Genomic DNA, 17,642 nt, shown 5'->3' on the forward strand with positions numbered 1-17,642 from the left:
TATATTCACCCAGACTAACATGTTATTTATTACATTATATTTGACCAAGTTTCAGAAAATATTTAATCTAGCTTGGTGCCTAGCACACAGTAGGACTTAACAGGTATTTATCAAACAAATTTACCAAAAATGAGGTCAGTAAATGAAATAACACATCTAAAACAGTTACAACAGTAGCTGAAACACAGTGTAGATTCCATAAATATTAGTTATTATATAACTTTATATAGGCTGGAAAAAACCCTGAAACCATTATTGAACATTTGATCTGGAAGGCAAAAACTAAGCACCTTTTATCAAGTTTTCAACTTGCTCATTTATACATTGCCAATACAGGTTGAGTATCCTTTATCCGAAACACTCGGGACCAAAAGTATTTCAAATTTTGGATTTTTTTGGATTTTGGAATATTTGCGTATACGTAATGAGGTATCTTGGGGATGGGATGCAGTATAAATACAAAATTCATTTATGGTTCATATATACCTTATACACATAACCTGAAGATAATTTTATACAATATTTTTAATAATTTTGTGCATGAAACAAAGTTTGTGTACATGAACCAACCATCAAAAAGCAAAGGTGCCAAGTGTGGAATTTTTCACTTGTGGTGTCATGTTGGCGCTCATAAAGTTTTGGATTTCCGAGCATTCTGGATTTTTGGATTAGGGATACTCAACCTGTACAATCACATCTTTGATGAGAAAGAAAATTTAGCTCATTTATAAAGATCTCTTGACTCTGGCAGCCTGGAGAAAATATATCTAGACTTGAAGTGAAAGGAGAAATTAGGTTGGTCCTGAACTTGGAGCTAAGTGTCATCTGTCAAAGAGGTGTGGTGGGAAGTGGAAAAGATTATCTATAAGGTTGTTTCTTGCGCTAACGCTGTAGGGGCTTATAACAAATTTAGAACTAGAATCCTTCAGCTTTCAATTCACATAAGCAAGAAATTTGTAAAAAATCGGCAAACGGGCTGGGCGGGGTGGCTCACGCCTGTAACCCCAGCACTTTGGGAGAAGAGGCGGGCGGATCACAAGGTCAAGAGATCGAAACCATCCTGGCCAATATGGTGAAACCCCGTCTCCACTAAAAATACAAAAAATTAGCCGGGCGTGGTGGCGAGCACCTGTAGTCCCAGCTACTGGGGAGGCTGAGGCAGGAGAATCGCTTGAACCCGGGAGGCGGAGGTTGCAGTGAGCCAAGATCGCGCCACTGCACTCCAGCCTGGTGACACAGCAAGACTCCGTTTCAAAAAAAAAAAGGAAATCAGCAAATGATACACTGAATTTGGTGTCAGATAGTAGGGGTCATCATACCAGCTCTGTTATTATTTAGCTGTGTGATTCAGAGCAAGAAGCAAACTCTTTGGGTCTCAATTTCCTCAACCTGTTCAACGAAGTTATTGGACAATATGAACTCTATTTAAAATACATCAAAGTCCAGGCCTGGCACAGTGGCTCACGCCTGTAATCCCAGTACTTTGGGAGGCCAAGACAGGAGGATTCCCTAAGCCCAGGAGTTTGAAATTAGCCTGGGCAACATCGCAAGACCCAGACTCTTATTAAAACACACACGCACACACACACACGCAAGATACATCATAGTCATGATACTCCATGAAATAAGCTACCTCTGAAGGAAAATACTCAGGTGGGGACTGAATCACCAATTATTAGAAATGTTTAGAGAACTCCTGTACAAACCAAAAGTAGAGAATTTCAAGGTTAGAAGAAACCTTACAACTCACCCAACTGAGACCTAAGCCCTCTCTAATATATTCCTGGACGAGGTCGCCCAACCGTTTTGGTAATGGAGAACTACCCATGGAAACAAGTCACTTCAACTTAGGCCAAATATGATGCAAAGTTACTTTACTGAAGCCACACCATCCTCTGGTAACTTTCGTCCACTAGTTTCACCTATCACTTAAGTGTCCCTCAAATATTTTGGATAGTGATAATATGCCCCTTAAATATCCTGTCCTCCAAATTAAAGTATCCAACTCCGTCAACCTTTCCTGGTAACATAATACCAAGACTCCCTCACCATTCAGGCTGCGTTCCTCAAAGAAACCTTCATTCTTGCTTTAGCGACTGTATTCAAATGACTCGAAAAGCTTCTCCCATTCTGACGTCTTACAACCCAAGATCTCCCACTTGCCCAGCTGACACCACAGGGAAGCCTCTAATCACGCTTGCCACCTCCACCCAAGGAAGCATTTGGGGTGGAAAGTGTGCCCTGTTGCTCCATTGGGAGACATGGAGACAAGAAGTGACGGCGGCACCGACAGAGAAGCCGGCACACTGTTCGCCTCCCCATTGCAAGCCTCCTCCCTCACCGGTATTGCTTGGGGTCGCTGGGAGACTTGACGATCTCAGGGTCCCCAGCATTACTGAGAGACCCCCTCCGTCCCTCTTCCTCAGATTCATCCGCTCCTAGACGGGCAACCCGGCTGTTCTCGCCCAGATCCTGTCCATTGGGCTGCAGGTCAGGGCAGCTGCAGGTAGACTTCGCCTTGTTCCTTCCAGGCATGGCCAGAATAGGAAAGGGTCTGGCAGCAGCAGAGTCTTCGCACCGACCCCGCGTTTCGATTCCCCAGAGCGCCGCGAGCTCCCGCCCGGCCTCACACAACTTCCTCCGGGTGGCACAGACTGCAGCAACAGTGACTCTCCTCAGCATTCACCACCAAGCTGGAGCGATGGACATCCCGCTTCCCAGGACCCACCTCCTCCGCGTTCTAGAGGCGGTGGCGGCCGGCCCTGGTGCTGCCGCAGCCGCGGGGAACAGGCCTGAACCCCTCCCCCAACCCAGTCTCCCTCTCGCCGACTTCCCTCGTCCCTCCGCCCTCCCGGCCGCCGATGACGCTACTGATTTCAGCCAATCATGAGGCAAGAAAGTAGTCACGCTCACGTAAGCAACCAATCAGAACAGGAAAGGAGAGGCACCAACGTGACCCGGACTGATTCTCGGAACAGCCAGCGAACATTTCGAAACCCAAAGTGGGCGGGGCGAGGGAGAAGAAGCGGAGAGAGTGGCGCGGAGGACGACGGGAGAAGGGCCCCCGGCGCGTTTATGACGTACGAGTGTGTTTTGTGGAAACCACTGAGTAGTGCTCCGCGTGTCAAAGAAAAATATTCCCCTAATGAGAAAACTGAGAAACGAGTGCAGAGAATTAATTCCAAAGTTTTAAATTTTCCCATTCGTGTCATAGTTTGGGTACCCTACTCCTCAGACCCGGGGCGAGCCTTCGGCTGTGACTCAGCACATAAAAAACCAGAACGCCGGAAGTATTTTCCTACACCCGCCGGATGGACGCTGCTCCCGAGCGCCGCAAATACTAATTGGCTCTTCTCTACCCTACAGTCGGCCCGACAGTGGTGGGGTTTCATCCTCAAGCCCTAAGAAAGTGCTAAAAAGACCAGTCTGGATGTGCTAACTCTTCTGTGTGAAAACGTTTTTTAGCTCCTCCAGCCTCCTGTTAAATTCGGCCAATTTTTATCGAGCAGCTGCAGCGTCTGCTGCCTTCAAGTCTCCTTTCCCAGTTTTTCCCGCTAGCAGTGGTCTTTGGTTAGCAATGTAAAATGTGACGGAAATACAAACATAAATGAAAGCTAAAAAGCAGCTGAAATTAGTAAGATGCACTATACTGACACCATGGGGTAAGAGATCATAGCTCATACATACGAATGAGCGGGGAAAGACGTGAAGCAGGGAGATGTGTTGATAGTTACTGTATCTTCAAGGTTTTCGAGGCCTCTTCTGAGTTCCAAATGCAAGGAATACAACCATGAACAAAACAAAACTTGCCTTAGGCTGGGCGTGATAGTGATAGCTCACACCTATAATCCTAGTACTTTGGGAGGCCGAAGCGGGAGGATTGCTTTGAGCCTGGGAATTTGGTACCAGCCTGGACAACATGGTGAGACCCCCGTCTGTACAAAATTCTTTTTTAAAATTAGCCAGGCTTGGTGATGCGTGCATGTGGTCCCAGCTACTCAGGAGGCTGAGGCAGGAGGAACGCTTGAGTCCAGGAGGTCGAGGCTGCAGTGAGCCGTGATTGCAACACTGCACTCCAGCCTGGTTGACACAGTGAGACCCTGTCTAAACAACGACAACAAAAATTTAAAGCCTTGCCTTGGGGGAGCTTGCATCCTAATGGGAAGGAACTGTAAAATATGTAAACTAAAGTAAATCAGGCTTTTAAATAATTCAAGTTAGCTTTCTTCAGAAGTCTTATTGAGGACTGCCACCTGGGAGAGTCAGAGAGTTTTTTTTTTAGACTGCTCCAAAGCAGTGTTTCAGCCCGCAGCTTCTATACAGGTGGTGGCCGCTCTGCATGTGCTTGGAAGTTAAATCAAATGTGCTCAGAAAGGCTGGGCCTGTAATCCCAGTGATTAAGGAGGCTGAGGCAGAAGGATTGCTTGAGGCCAGGCATTTACAACCAGCCTGTGTAACATATCAAGACTCTGTCTCCACACACACATAAAAAAGCAAGGCGTGGTAGAACATCCCTGTAGTCCTAGCTACAGGAGAGGCAGAGTTAAAAGGATTGCTGGGACTCCTGAGTTTGAGGTTACAGTGAACTATGATTGTGCCTCTGCACTCTAGCCTGGTGACAGAGCAAGACCTTGTCTCTAATAAAAAAGAAAAAATGTACTCAGGAGTTACACTAGAGCAAAATCTCATGAAGGTTTAGGTGGAAGAGTACACATGTTTATAGATTATGGAGGCATAGTCATTAATCCTGTCAGAAATGTACAGGAAGAGGCAAGGTCGAGCATCATTGGATTTATCTTTTCTAAAAATGCAGTGATTCAGGCAAGAGACATGGGAACTTGTGCTCTATCCTGCATATTTTCAGGGTATTCTGGAGGGCTGTGCGCAGTCACTGAGGCTGTGAAATTCTGCTGGCAAGAGAGTTTGTGAAATTCTGCTGGTAAACAGAATGAGCAGACATGGCTTCTTATGTTTGCTACTTTGTCTCACATATACAAAAAACAATAAATGCAATGAAGACAAATTGTATAGGATAGGAAGATAAGGAGTTAGGGAGGAAGGGTACAATGATTCAGGTAGAAAATGATGGAACCTGAACTGGAGCAGTAGATGAGGTAAATTGAAAAATACTGTTTAAAATATCCCAGTTTGTTTCCATACATCTTTTCAAGAACTTACCACTTTAAGCAACTCCACTAGACTTCTCTTCTTCAGAGCAGTGGGTTGTTGTTGGTTTTATTTGTTTGTTTGTTTAGAGATGAGTTCTCACTATGTCTATCCAGGCTGGTCTCAAACTCCTGGCCTTAAGCCATCCTCCCACCTCAGCCTCCCAAATCACTGGGATTACTATAGGCATAACTACTGCACCTAGCTCACAGCAGTGGTTTTTAATTAAATTTTTCTAACTAGATACAAAGGTGGGCTGGATCTAATGGCATGTGTCTGTAGTCCCAGCACTTTGGGAGACTGAGGAAGGTGGATCACTTGAACCCAGGAGTTTGAGACCAAACTGAATATAGAGAAAACCTGTCTCCACAAAAAATACAAAGAATTAGCTGGGTATAGTGGTGCATGCTTGTAGTCCCAGCTACTTGAAAGGCTGAGGTGGGAGGATCACCTGAGCCCAGGAGGTCAAGGCTGCAGCAAGCCATGATCATGCCACTGCACTCCAGCCTAGGTGATAGAGTGAGACCCTGTCTCCAAAAAAAAAAAAAAAAAAGAGACAAAGATTGCATCCTGAAGTGTGAGCTGCTTTAAAAAGAGGTCTCTGGCGGAGGTTGCAGTGAGCCAAGATTGCACCACGGCACTCCAGCCTGGGCGACAGAGCGAGACTCTGTCTCAAAAAAAAAAGTCTCTGTGTGGTGGCAGACACCTGTAATCCCAGCTACTCAGGAGGCTGAGCCAGAGAATTGCTTGAACCCAGGAGGTGGAGGTTGCAGTGAGCCAAAATTGTGCCACTGCACTCCAGGCTGGGCGACAGAGTAAGACTCTGTCCCCACAAAATAAATAAAAATAAAAGTCTCTGAATCTTACAGGTTACCAGACTGTAGAAATATGGTAACATGCACAGGAAAAATACCTCTGATGCTGAGCCCAATACAGTTCTAACTCCATAGCACATGTGAGGCAGTCCATTCTTCATTCAACCAACAAATTGAGCTCGTGGTATGTGCCAGAAACTGGGAATACAGTGATGAACAAGAAATTTTCCTGTTCTCTTGGAACATAAAAGAGAACTAGTGGGAGAGACAAACATTAAACAAACACACAAATTTTAAATTTATAATTGTGAGTAGTTCTGGAAAGATATAAACAAAGGGACCTAGACTGGTCAGAGTTTCTCTAAAGAAGGGAAATGGGCCAGGAATGGTGGCTAACCCCTGTAATCCCAGCACTTGGGGAGGCAGAGGCGGGCAGATCATGAGGTCAGGAGTTCGAGACCAGCCTGGCCAACATGTCAAAACCCGTCTCTGCTAAAAATCCAAAAAAAAAAAAAAAAAAAAAATTAGCTGAGCATGGTGGCATGCATCTGTAATCCCAGCTACTCGGGAGACTGAGGCAGGAGAATCACTTAAACCTGGGTGGTGGAGGTTGTAGTGAGCCAAGATCGTGCCACTGCACTCCAGCCTGGGTAACAGCGAGACTCCAACTCAAAAAAAAAAAAAGGTAAATAAGGGAAATGTAAATTAACATTTGAAAAATGTATAGGAATTGGGTGTAGGAATATACATACTTGTTCAAAAGCCCTGAGAAAGCAAGTCAGTATGGCTAAATTGTAGTGTACTAATCTGGAAGCAAAGGGGAAAGCAGTCCGTGGTCGAGATCATAAAGAACCTTCCTATGAGTAAGAGGTCATTGCCTTATCTATTTTATATATCATTGGATCCCCAGCTTCTAGAATAGTTTCTGGCACACTGTGGTACTCAGTAAATAATGGTTGAACAAAAGAAAAGAGAGAGTATGATCACAAGTGTTTTCCAAGTAGACCGCTCTGGCTCATGTATGAAAAACATTGGATGGTGGGGGCAAAGGCAAGACTGGAAGAAAAGAGAGCAGTTAGAAGGCTGCTGAAGTCATATAGGCAATAGAAGATGATACCTTGGATTTGAGGAGTGATAGTGGCGATGGAAAGATGTAGATAAATAATATGTATTCAGGAAGTAGAATTGCCCAGTATTAGGTAGTGATTGATTTGATGTGGGAGAATAAAGAGAGAAGTGTTAGGTATAACTCCCTGCTGTCTGGTTTTCTGGATGGATCGATGATGGTGCCAGTAACTCAGTAAACAGGAAATTCTGAAAAAGGAGTTTTGGTAGGAGAAGAGTATACTAGCTCAGTTTTGGACATGTTAAGTTTGAGTTATTTGTGAGAGACACAGATGAAGATCAGGTCTGAAGCTCAGAAAAGAGACCTAAATTGGAGATAAAAATTTGAGGTTTATTGGTTTCTAGGTGGTAACCAAAGCTTATTGAATGAGATCACCTACACTGAGATTGTGAAGTGAAAAAAGGGCCCAAGGAGAAAGCTTTGAGGAACTTACAGAAGAGGAAGAACTCACAAAAGAGACTGAGAAGGAACTACCAGGGTGTTAAGAAGAAAACCTGTGTGATCACAGGAAAAATACCTCTGATGCTGAGCCCAATACAATTCTGACCCACAGCACATGTTAGAAGTGTCAGATCAGAGGCCCGGTGCAGCGGCTTATGCCTGTAATCCCAGCACTTTGGGAGGCCAAGGCAGGAGGATCAGTTGAGGCCAGGAGTTCAAGACCAGCCTGGTCAACAGGGCGAAACCCTGTCTCTACTAAAAATACAAAAATTAGCCAGCTGTGGTGGTACACCCCTGTAATCCCAGCTACTTGGGTGGCGCATGCCTGTAATCCCAGCTACTTAGGAGGCTGAGGCAGGAGAATTGAACTCTGTCTCAAAGAAAAAGAAGTGTCAGATTAGATATATAAAATATAAGAATTGGCAAGGGATCTCTGAATTATTTTAGTCTGGTGTCTTCAGATATAAAGATAAATACCTATTCAGGTGAAACTCAAAAATGACCAATAGGCATAGCCAGGACTTCCAAACCAGAAGTATTGTTTTCCTATTTAAAATAATTTGGAAAGTTACCATCTCTCATTTGTATTATAAAGAGTATTCCTCAGAGGAAACAGGTAAATTAAGCTATTACTTTGTTGTTGTTGTTGGTGTTGTTGTTTTCCTTTTTGGAAACAGGGTCTAGCTCTCTCACCCAAGCTGGAATTCAGTGGCATGATCTCGGCTGACTGCAATCTCTGCCTCCCAGGCTCAAGTGATTCTCCTGCCTCAGCCTCCCGAGTAGCTGGAACCACAATCACAGGCATGCACCACCATGCCCAGCTAATTTTTTGTACTTTTTGTAGAGGCAGGGTCCATGTTGTGCGGGCTGGTCTTCAACTCCAGGGCTCAAGTGATTTGCCCGCCTCGGCCTCCCAAAATCCTGGGATTACAGGCATGAGCCACTGTGCCCAGCGAAAGTATAACTATTATATAGGAAACTGAGGGCCGAGGTTGCAATGAACTGAGACTGTGCTACTTCACTCCAGCCTGGGCAACAGAGTGAGACTCTGTCTCCAAAAAAAAGGAAACTGAGGCATCAGGAAGTTAAAAGGAACTTGATATCCCCAATAAAGTTAAAGAGTACAAGACTGTAATTTTTAACCTCATTTTCCGAGACCTTCTCTTTTCTTTTTTGAGACAGGGTCTTTCTGTGTCACCCAGCCTAGAGTGCAGTGGTGTATTCATAGCTCACTGCAATCTCAACCTCCTAGACTCAAGCAATCTTCCCACCTCAGCCTCCCAAGTAATTGGGACTACAGGCATGCACCACCATGCCTAGCTAATTTATTTTTAAGAGATGGGGGTCTCACTATGTTGCCCAGGGTGGTCTTGAATTCCTGGCCTCAAGCAATCCTCCCACCTTGGCTTCTCAAAGTGCTGGGATTACAGGTGTGCACCACTGGGCTCAACCCAGACTTTTTCTTTAAGTTTATTTTTTAATTTCTTAATATTTCTTCGGTTTCAGACCCTGACAGACTTTCTGAGAGTACAGTATTTAAAGGCTTTTTTACATTTCCACTTCGTCTTCAGCCACCTTAAACTCCTTTCCATTTTTACCTCAAGGATTTCCCTCCCATCAGATTTGGTGAGCCTTGTCTCCCTATTATTCTGGTGAAAGTTTAGAAATCATGAAAATTAAAAACAGCTCATTTCTGTGTTCGATCCCTGCCTCTGAAAGTTAATTTAGTCAATGCAAAAGGGACAGATCTGAGCCTTAATTTTTTTTTTTTTTTTTGTAGATGGAGTCTCACTCTGTTGCCCAGGCTGGAGTGCAATGGCGTGATCTCGGCTTACTGCAACCTCTGCCTCCCAGGTTCAAGCAATTCTCCTGCCTCAGCCTCCCAAGTAGCTGGGATTACAGACATGCACCACCACACCTGGCTAATTTTTTGTATTTTTAGTAGAGACGGGGTTTTGCCATGTTGGCCAGGCTGGTCTTGAACTGCTGACCTCAGGTTATCCACCCGCCTCAGCCTCCCAAAGTTCTAGGGTTACAGGCGTGAGTCACCGTGCCCAGCCTCAGCCTTACTTTTAAAAATTAAAAGATAAATTATTCTTAATTATCCATCTTTATAATTGAAAGTCAGGATAAGGCAGAAATGTGGAATGTTGACTCTACATTGAGTAGATTGGAATAGTATGAGCCCATTAACATCTCAAACCCCAAATTATCTCCCCCTTGCTTTAATGTCTAAAATTCCTTCATTAGTGATTTATGTCCCTTTTTATAACTCTTGTTAAATGCCAATAACACCCTCGAAAGGATTGAAAAACTAACCCATTTTGTGAATGGATATGTTTTATTTCCTCTAGTTCGAAGCACACTCTAGGCAACTTCAGATCACTATGAATCTGGGGTAGGTGAAGAGATTGCTAAATCTAGGGGGAAAGACACAGAAAGAAGAGGTAGGTAACAAGAGAAATATTACCCACTTCAACATTTTGTCCAGGGCCCATGCGCTAAGAAATTATACCTTTGGAGCTCTGGTTATTAATTGTCCCACCCACTGATTGCTATCCACATTTGGCAGCTTTGTATCTAGGTCAAGAAGTAGGCATGTTCTTATGGAGTCTTCTCCCCCGAAACTGAATGTGTGCACAATATACCAAGCAATTTGTGTGACCATAGAAATAGTTTTCTCAGCCAGGCACGGTGGCTCATGCCTGTAATCCCAGCACTTTGGGAAGCCAAGGCAGATGGATCACCTGAGGTCAGGAGTTCGAGACCAGCCTGGCCAACATGGTGAAACCCCATCTCTACTAAAAATAGCAAAATTAGCCGGGCATGGTGGCTCATGCCTGTAATGCCAGCTACTTGGGAGGCTGCGGCAGAAAAATCACTTTAACGCAGGAAGCAAAAGTTGCAGTGAGCTGAGATTGCACCACTGCATTCCAGCCTGGGCAACACAGTGAGACTCTGTCTCAAAAAAAAAAAAAAAAGTTTTCTCCTATACTATAAACATAGTTCTAGAAGAATTTGATGTTCAAAACTTCGTGATAAATTAGGAGTGACTCTAAAAAATGTGACAAATGAAATATTATTTTATCACAAATCAAGCTAAGTTGCTCCTCATCTCTGGACTAAAGATACATATTTTTTGAAACTCTGCCTGGAAAGAAGAATGTAAAGACACAAAATAATATTTAAAAATCTAATTATATTATTCGCTTTTAAGAAACCCATCATGGCATTCCTTTGCTCTTTGAATAAAATCCAGCCTCTTGCTATCGCTTATATGGCTTGCTTATTAATTATTTCTGTCCTTCCTCTAAGTCTACCATCTCATCTACCATTCAGCTTTTTGCTCCAGTCACACTGGCTTTTTAATGTCCTTCAACACACTAGAGTAGTTCCTGCTTTAGGGCCATTACCTCTGCCTCTCTGCCTGGAGTGTTCTTACTCTAAATTTTGCATAGCTGAGTTCTTCACACCAGTCATATGTCAGAAAACATGTCACTCTTAAGAGAGGCCTTTTCTTATTCTATCTAAAATAGTACTCATGGTCAGGCACGGTGGCTCACACCTATAATCCCAGCACTTCGGGAGGCCGAGGCGGGTGGGTTGCTCAAGCCAGGAGTTTGAGAACAACCTGGGCAACATGGTGAAACCCCGTCTCTACAAAAAATACACACACACACACACACACACACACACACACACACAAATTAGCCAGGTGTGGTGGTACATGCCAGATACTTGGGAGGCTGAGGTGGGAGGGTTGCTTCAGCCCAGGAGGGTGAGGCTGCAGTGAGCCATGATCATGCCACTGTGCTCCAGTCTGGATGACAGAGCAATACCCTGTCTCAAAATAATTAATTAAAATAATACTCATCATCTGAAATTATATTATTTGTCTATTAGCTTACTGTTTAGGCCGGGCGCGGTGACTCACGCCTGTGATCCCAGCACTTTGGGAGGCGGAGGTGGGTGGATCACAAGGTCAGGAGTGCGAAACCAGCCTGGCCAAGATGGTGAAACCCTGTCTCTACTAAAAATAAAAAATTAGCCGGGCATGGTGGCAGGCGTTTGTAGTCCCAGCTACTCGGGAGGTTGAGGCAGGAGAATTCCTTGAACCTGGGAGGCGGAGGTTGCCGTGAGCCGAGATCGTGCCACTGCACTCTAGCCAGGGTGACAGAGCGAGACTCCATCTCAAAAAAAAAAAAAAAAAGCTTACTATCTATACATACCCTCTGTATGTTATAGGCCCATGAGAAAGCTGGTACCTCATTTGTCTTGTTCCCCACTACATCCCTAGAGTCAAAAATGGGGCCTGGCATGTGGTAGGTATTCAACAAATACTTGTCAAATTGATGAATGAATGATACAGGAAATTGAAGTTTCAAGATCCCTGGAGAGACAGAAGAGTGGGATTAGCCTTAAATTGTAGAGGAACACCATTATCATTTGGCCCAGAAGGAAAGATACACAGATAGGTGCAAATGCAGCAAAAATTTTACATCGTTTTAGGAAGAAAGAAGCAGAAAGAAGCAGCAGGAATTTAAAAGAGTTCCCTTCTAATAGTCCCCAGCCTCCTTTTTTGTTTTGTTTTGTTTTGTTTTGAAACATGATAGAAAGTCAGTGTTGGGACTGAAAGGATAGGTAGTAGTATAGAATGTTCTGCTTTCATGGGAACTGGTAAATGCGATATTTGTCTTTCTTTTTTTTTTTTTTTTTGCTTGTTTAAATTTCACATGTCTTGAAGCCAAGCCCAGCTGGTAGTTTCTGTTTCTTGAGTAACTGTAATACTTTGTGCCAAGACTGTTTCTTTCTTTTTTGGGGGGATGTGGGGTTGGGGGGAAGAAGTCTTGCTCGGTTGCCCAGGCTGGAGTGCAGTGGTGCAATCTCAGCTCACTGCAACCTACGTCTCCTGGGTTCAAGCAGTTCTCCTACCTCAGCCTCCTGAGTAGCTGGGATTACAGGCACCTGCCACCATGCCCAGCTAATTTTTGCATTTTTAGTAGAGACGGGGTTTCACCACGTTGGTCAGGCTGGTCTCGAACTCCTGACCTCAGGTGATCTGCCCGCCTCAGCCTCCCGAAGTGCTGGGATTACAGGCATGAGCCACCACACCTGGCCTCTAAGACTGTTACTTTCATTAACTCACTTAATCCTCACAGCAACCTAAATATGTTATTCACCAGTTTATAGATGAAGAAACTGAGGTCGAGAGAAGTTAGATAACTTGCACAAAATCAACAATAGGAAAGTTGGACTACTGAAATTGCAAACCATGAGTGTCTGATTCCAAAGATTATATTTTTTCATCTCTTACATGTTGCCTGTCACATACCTAGAATAAATAGACTTATGATGTGTTAATTTGATCATTGATATTCCCTGCTGTAGTTAACCCCAAGTCTAAGCTTTACTTTATTTAATTTTATTTTATAGAGACAGGTTTTCACATGTTGCCCAGGCTGGTCTTGCACTCCTGGGATCAAGCAATCTGCCCACCTTGGTCTCCCAAAGTGCTGGGATTATAGGGTGTGAGCTACTGTGCCCAGCCAACCCCCCAGTCTAAGCTTTAAATGTAATATGCACAGTAACAAATGTTATAACATGTACACGAAAATGACAGTTGATAACTCTCATTAAGAAAGCATCTGGCTTTCCAACAGCCTGCCTACCTTCTAAATAATTGTGTCTAAAAATCATTTACTTAGGTAGAGCTAAGCAAGCCTGGCACCTGTGTCCAGCATGTGTGGTAACAGCATGATGATATTTGTTAGAGCATGCACGGTTAAAGAGGGTGACCACATAGGCTGATAGTGCAAAGTGTCCGAATCCAAGCAGAGTGAGGAGGGGAGAGGTGAGGGCCGCAGTAACAATGGGAGATTGGTTACAAACGGGTGATTTACCAAATAAATAAATATATTGAGGATAATGGGAGATGGGATCCAGGCTTCTCACTGTAGATGTAAGGAGTTACAAATATGGAAAAGCAGAAAATTAGAATGAACTCTGTGGTGTTGGATTGGAATTGTAGGTATTTGTGTAAACTCATGATTTGCAATAGGTGGACATAGAATAAAACATAGATGTGTGTGTGTGGCCGGGCGCAGTGACTCATGCCTGTAATCCCAGCACTTTGGGAGACCAAGGTGGGTGGATAACCTGAGGTCAGGAGTTTGAGACCAGCCTGGCCAACATGGCAAAACTCCATCTCTACTAAAAATACAAAAACTAGCCTGGCGTGGTGGCACCCGCCTATAGTCTCAGCTACTTGGGAGGCTGAGGCAGGAGAATTGCTTGAACCCGGGAGGTGGAGGTTGCAGTGAGCCGAGATTGCACCACTGCACTCCAGCCTGGGTGACAATGCAAGACTCTGTCTCAAAAATAATAATAAAATGTGTGTGTGTATGTGTATGTGAGTATGTATATACATACATATATTTTCTAGCTATGTTCACTAAGAGGACCTAGGAGCAGTGACACCCCAACAGCAATGAGCATACCTAACACCTCCATTTTGGTTTCCAAATGCATTTTGCACTAAAAGGCCATTTTCCAATAAAAAGAACCAAAGCTTCCTGGAGAAATGACTGATTCCAAGGCTAGGGCAGAGAAGGTACAAGATGAACCTGGAACATCTTGCTAAGCCACAAAGTAAAGAAGTATTCATAGAATAATGAGAACATATCAAAAAGACACAGAGTCCAGCTTGGAGGGACTCTCACTCCCAGGGCCAGAATGTGGACAATTTGAGCCTCAAAATAAATAACAATAGTATTAATGGGAATTAATGTGTCTAAACTGCTGAATGAATGAATGAAAGAAGAAAACTTTTTGTTACAGTATAATACCAACAATAAATGTACAAGCAATGATGGAATTAGAAAATCCCCATTTGGCAACCATAACAGTAATAAATCAACCAAGAAACATCTATGTATGCTAAACTTCTTGGTACACATCTGATGAGGAATGGAATATTTACATAGTCTCAAAGTACCTCTTCACAAAATACTTATTAATTAAGAAGGGACAAAGAATAACTTAACAGTGGAAAAACCTGGCAAACACCACTTAATCTGTAAACTAATATTATTAGTAAGGAGACAAATTGAAATTGCTATAGCCTGACAGTATGTCACGAGGAAAAACCCAGCATGCCTTCTGTGCTATTCCTGCCCAAAATGCGTAACTTGAATCTAATCAAGAAGAAACACCAGACAAATCAAATTGAGGGATATTCTATAAAATAACTCACCTATAATCTTTACAAGTAGCAAGGTCATGAAAGTCGAAGAAAGACTAAAGAATTGTTCTGATTAAAGATTAATGAGACATAACTAAATGCATCACTTTCAATGACATTATTGGGATAACTGCTTAAACTTGAATGGGTTCTGTGGATTAGATGATAGTAATACATCAATGTTGATTTCCTGATTTTGAGAATTTGTGAATGATGGAACATCATAGGGGTAACCTACTCTCGAAAGGTTCAGAGGGGAAAAAAATACTTCTTTGTACTGTTCTTGTTACTTTCCTGTAAGTTGGAGATTATTTCAAAATTAAAAGGAAAAATGTTACAGAAGGGAGACAAAAAGGGTACCATTTGAAACACTGGAACTATCAGTGTCTTAAATGAACAATGTAAATTCCTGAAATTGGGGGCAGAAAAATGGTGTTTGTGGGGGTAACAGTAGTGATTATTCTTCCTCTACCCACACTCTCCAAGATCCTACTGTGCTCCAGTCTGGTTGACCTACCTCCTCATAGAAGCCTTCTTTGACTATTACAGCCCACACTCATTCCATACCTGAACTTTGACTATTACAGCCCATATCCATTCCATACCTGAACTTGGGATACATGTTGTTGGTATCATTTCCTTGGCAGTAAATCATATATAACCTGTGACTTCTCTTGTACTATTGTCTTATATAAATTTTGAACTCCTGTTTAAATCTTCTCATGAATATTGCCTCCCTAATTATATTGTAATTAATTTAGGAGTAGATGCCATATATGATCTCTTTTCCTTCCCAAAGTACCTAACACATGTTTTGCAATCACATTTCCACATCCCAAGGACTGTCAAGTAATAATTAGTCTCACTTAGCAAATGCTTTTTGCATACCAACTATGTATCAGGCACTGTAAATAATAATTTCCTACATGCATAGGATGCATTGGCTGGGCGCAGGGGCTCACGCCTGTAATCCCAGCACTTTGGGAGGCAGAGGTGGGTGGATCACGAGGTCAGGAGTTCAAGACCAGCCTGGCCAAGATGGTGAAACCCTATCTCTACTAGAAATATAAAAATTAGCCAGGCGTGGCAGAGGGCACCTGTAATCCCAGCTACTCGGGAGGCTGAGGCAGAGAATTGCTTGAACCCGGGAGGTGGAGGTTACAATAAGCCAACATCGTGCCACTGCACTCCAGCCTGGGCAACAGAGCAAGACTCCATCTCAAAAACAAAAAACAAGAAACAAAACAAAAAAAACCCCACAGCTTCCAAGTCCAGTGGTTTTTCCACTCCACTATAGGAAACAGGTAACAAGTCTGGACACAGTGATGGACTTATGTGGGTTGTATTAGTTTTCTATTACTGCTGTAACAAATTACCACAAACGTAGTGGCTTAAACAATACAAATGTATTATTTCACAGTTCTGTAGAAGTCCGACACAGTTCTCACTGGCCTAAAATTAAGGGGTCGGCAGAGTTGCATTCTTTTCTAAAGGCTCCAGGAGATTGTCTGTTTCCTTGCTATTTCCAGCTTCCAGATGTTGCTCACATTCTTTAGCGTGTGTTCTTCTTCCTCCATCTTCAAAGCAACACTGCATCTCTCTGTCTTTCTTCCATAGTGTATCTTCCTCTGACTCTCTATTTTACTTTTTTTTTTTTTTTGACAGTGTCTCGCTCTGTTGCCCAGGCTGGAGTGCAGTGGCACAATCTCGGCTCACTACAACCTCCATCTCCCGGGTTCAAGCGATTCTCCTGCCTCGGCCTCCTGAGTAGCTGGGACTACAGGTGCCCGCCACCATGCCCCGCTAATTTTTTGTATTTTTAGTAGAGACAGGTCTCACCGTGTTAGTCAGGATGGTCTCGATCTCCTGATCTCATGATCCGCCCACCTTGGCCTCCCAGAGTGCTAGGATTACAGGCGTGAGCCACTATGCCTGGCCTATTTTACTTTTAAGGATGCTTGAGATTACGTTGGGCCAACTCCAATAATCCAAGATAATCTCCCTATTCAGCTCATTAGTAACCTTAATTTCTTCAGCAATTTTCATTCTCCTTTGCCATATATCTTAACATATTCACAGATTCCAGGAATTAGGACGTAGACATCCTTGGGAGGCCATTATTCTGCCTATTGTGTATATGTTCTTTAAAATTTCACTTCCCAAAGGTCTCCTGAGTGCTTTCGCACCTTAACTCATGGTGTGACCACTCCTTCCATCTATTGAAAATCAGTCATTAGATTCCAACAGGACAATTCGTTTACTGGTATACCAACTTTAGCAATTACTTTCTGTGAAAAATAAGACGGATTTACAAAAGTTAATATCCTCTGAGTCCACTGACTCCTTATTCAACGGTAAGGAAATTGAGGCCAGAAACATTAATAACTTGCCCAAGGACACACAGCTAGCAAGTGGCAGAGCAGGAATTCAGTCTTAGGTCCTACTACAAAGCTCACAGCTTTTCCATTACACCATTTTGTCACCAACAGCTACTCCTAGGGCCTACATCAAATGCCTGTGGTTTAAACGTTAATTCATTCATTTGGGTTATCCACTTTATGGACTGCCTTGAAAATGCAAATTCAAGGAAGAGAAGAAGTCAAATTGCCTCTGTTTGCAGATAACATGATGGTATATTTACAAAACCCCGTAGTCTCAGCCCAAAAACTCCTTAAGCTGATAAGCAACTTCAGCAAAGTCTCAGGATACAAAATCAATGTGCAAAAATCACAAGTATTCCTATACACCAATAATGGACAAGCAGAGAGCCAAATCATGAGTGAACTCCCATTCACAATTGCTATAAAGAGAATAAAATACCTAGGAATACAACTTAAAAGGGATGTGAAGGACC

The 17,642-nt window shown here is 43.2% G+C and overlaps 1 protein-coding gene across 3 annotated transcripts in view, besides 8 other annotated features; it reads right to left on the bottom strand.

Moving 5' to 3' along the window:
• Positions 1-2,794, bottom strand: part of NRDC (nardilysin convertase) — an 89,518-nt gene extending 86,724 nt beyond the window's left edge. For 2 of the 3 annotated variants that reach the window (NM_001101662.2, NM_002525.3), the window contains exon 1: positions 2,342-2,794. In NM_001101662.2, the coding sequence (NP_001095132.1) occupies positions 2,342-2,682 (341 nt within the window). In that variant the 5' untranslated portion in view covers positions 2,683-2,794. Of the gene's footprint in view, positions 1-2,049; positions 2,108-2,341 lie in introns of those variants that run through there. The other variant, NM_001242361.2, reaches the window with a different exon arrangement.
• Positions 584-1,115: an enhancer, noted in NCBI's record as "H3K4me1 hESC enhancer chr1:52342189-52342720 (GRCh37/hg19 assembly coordinates)". NCBI's record gives its function as "activates a minimal SCP1, AML or CMV promoter by ChIP-STARR-seq in primed H9 embryonic stem cells {active_cell/tissue: H9 hESC(primed)}" and the evidence as "EXISTENCE:reporter gene assay evidence [ECO:0000049][PMID:30033119]".
• Positions 2,784-3,078: an enhancer, noted in NCBI's record as "tiled region #5937; HepG2 Activating DNase unmatched - State 1:Tss, and K562 Activating DNase unmatched - State 1:Tss". NCBI's record gives its function as "activates a minimal TATA promoter and a strong SV40 promoter by Sharpr-MPRA in HepG2 and K562 cells {active_cell/tissue: HepG2 | K562}" and the evidence as "EXISTENCE:reporter gene assay evidence [ECO:0000049][PMID:27701403]".
• Positions 2,784-3,141: a biological region, named in NCBI's record as "Sharpr-MPRA regulatory region 5937".
• Positions 2,832-2,881: a silencer, noted in NCBI's record as "silent region_882". NCBI's record gives its function as "represses an Ori minimal core promoter by ATAC-STARR-seq in GM12878 lymphoblastoid cells {active_cell/tissue: GM12878}" and the evidence as "EXISTENCE:reporter gene assay evidence [ECO:0000049][PMID:35858748]".
• Positions 2,962-3,141: an enhancer, noted in NCBI's record as "active region_1028". NCBI's record gives its function as "activates an Ori minimal core promoter by ATAC-STARR-seq in GM12878 lymphoblastoid cells {active_cell/tissue: GM12878}" and the evidence as "EXISTENCE:reporter gene assay evidence [ECO:0000049][PMID:35858748]".
• Positions 3,532-4,085: an enhancer, noted in NCBI's record as "H3K27ac hESC enhancer chr1:52345137-52345690 (GRCh37/hg19 assembly coordinates)". NCBI's record gives its function as "activates a minimal SCP1, AML or CMV promoter by ChIP-STARR-seq in naive H9 embryonic stem cells {active_cell/tissue: H9 hESC(naive)}" and the evidence as "EXISTENCE:reporter gene assay evidence [ECO:0000049][PMID:30033119]".
• Positions 4,839-5,036: a silencer, noted in NCBI's record as "fragment chr1:52346444-52346641 (GRCh37/hg19 assembly coordinates)". NCBI's record gives its function as "represses an EF-1alpha promoter that drives an FKBP-Casp9 reporter gene in an ReSE screen in HepG2 liver carcinoma cells {active_cell/tissue: HepG2}" and the evidence as "EXISTENCE:reporter gene assay evidence [ECO:0000049][PMID:32094911]".
• Positions 7,390-7,590: a silencer, noted in NCBI's record as "peak224 fragment used in MPRA reporter construct". NCBI's record gives its function as "represses an SCP1 promoter by STARR-seq MPRAs in K562 erythroleukemia cells {active_cell/tissue: K562}" and the evidence as "EXISTENCE:reporter gene assay evidence [ECO:0000049][PMID:32103011]".

Source organism: Homo sapiens, chromosome 1 (genome assembly GCF_000001405.40).
Source record: "Homo sapiens chromosome 1, GRCh38.p14 Primary Assembly".
In the NCBI taxonomy this organism is placed as follows: domain Eukaryota; kingdom Metazoa; phylum Chordata; class Mammalia; order Primates; family Hominidae; genus Homo; species Homo sapiens.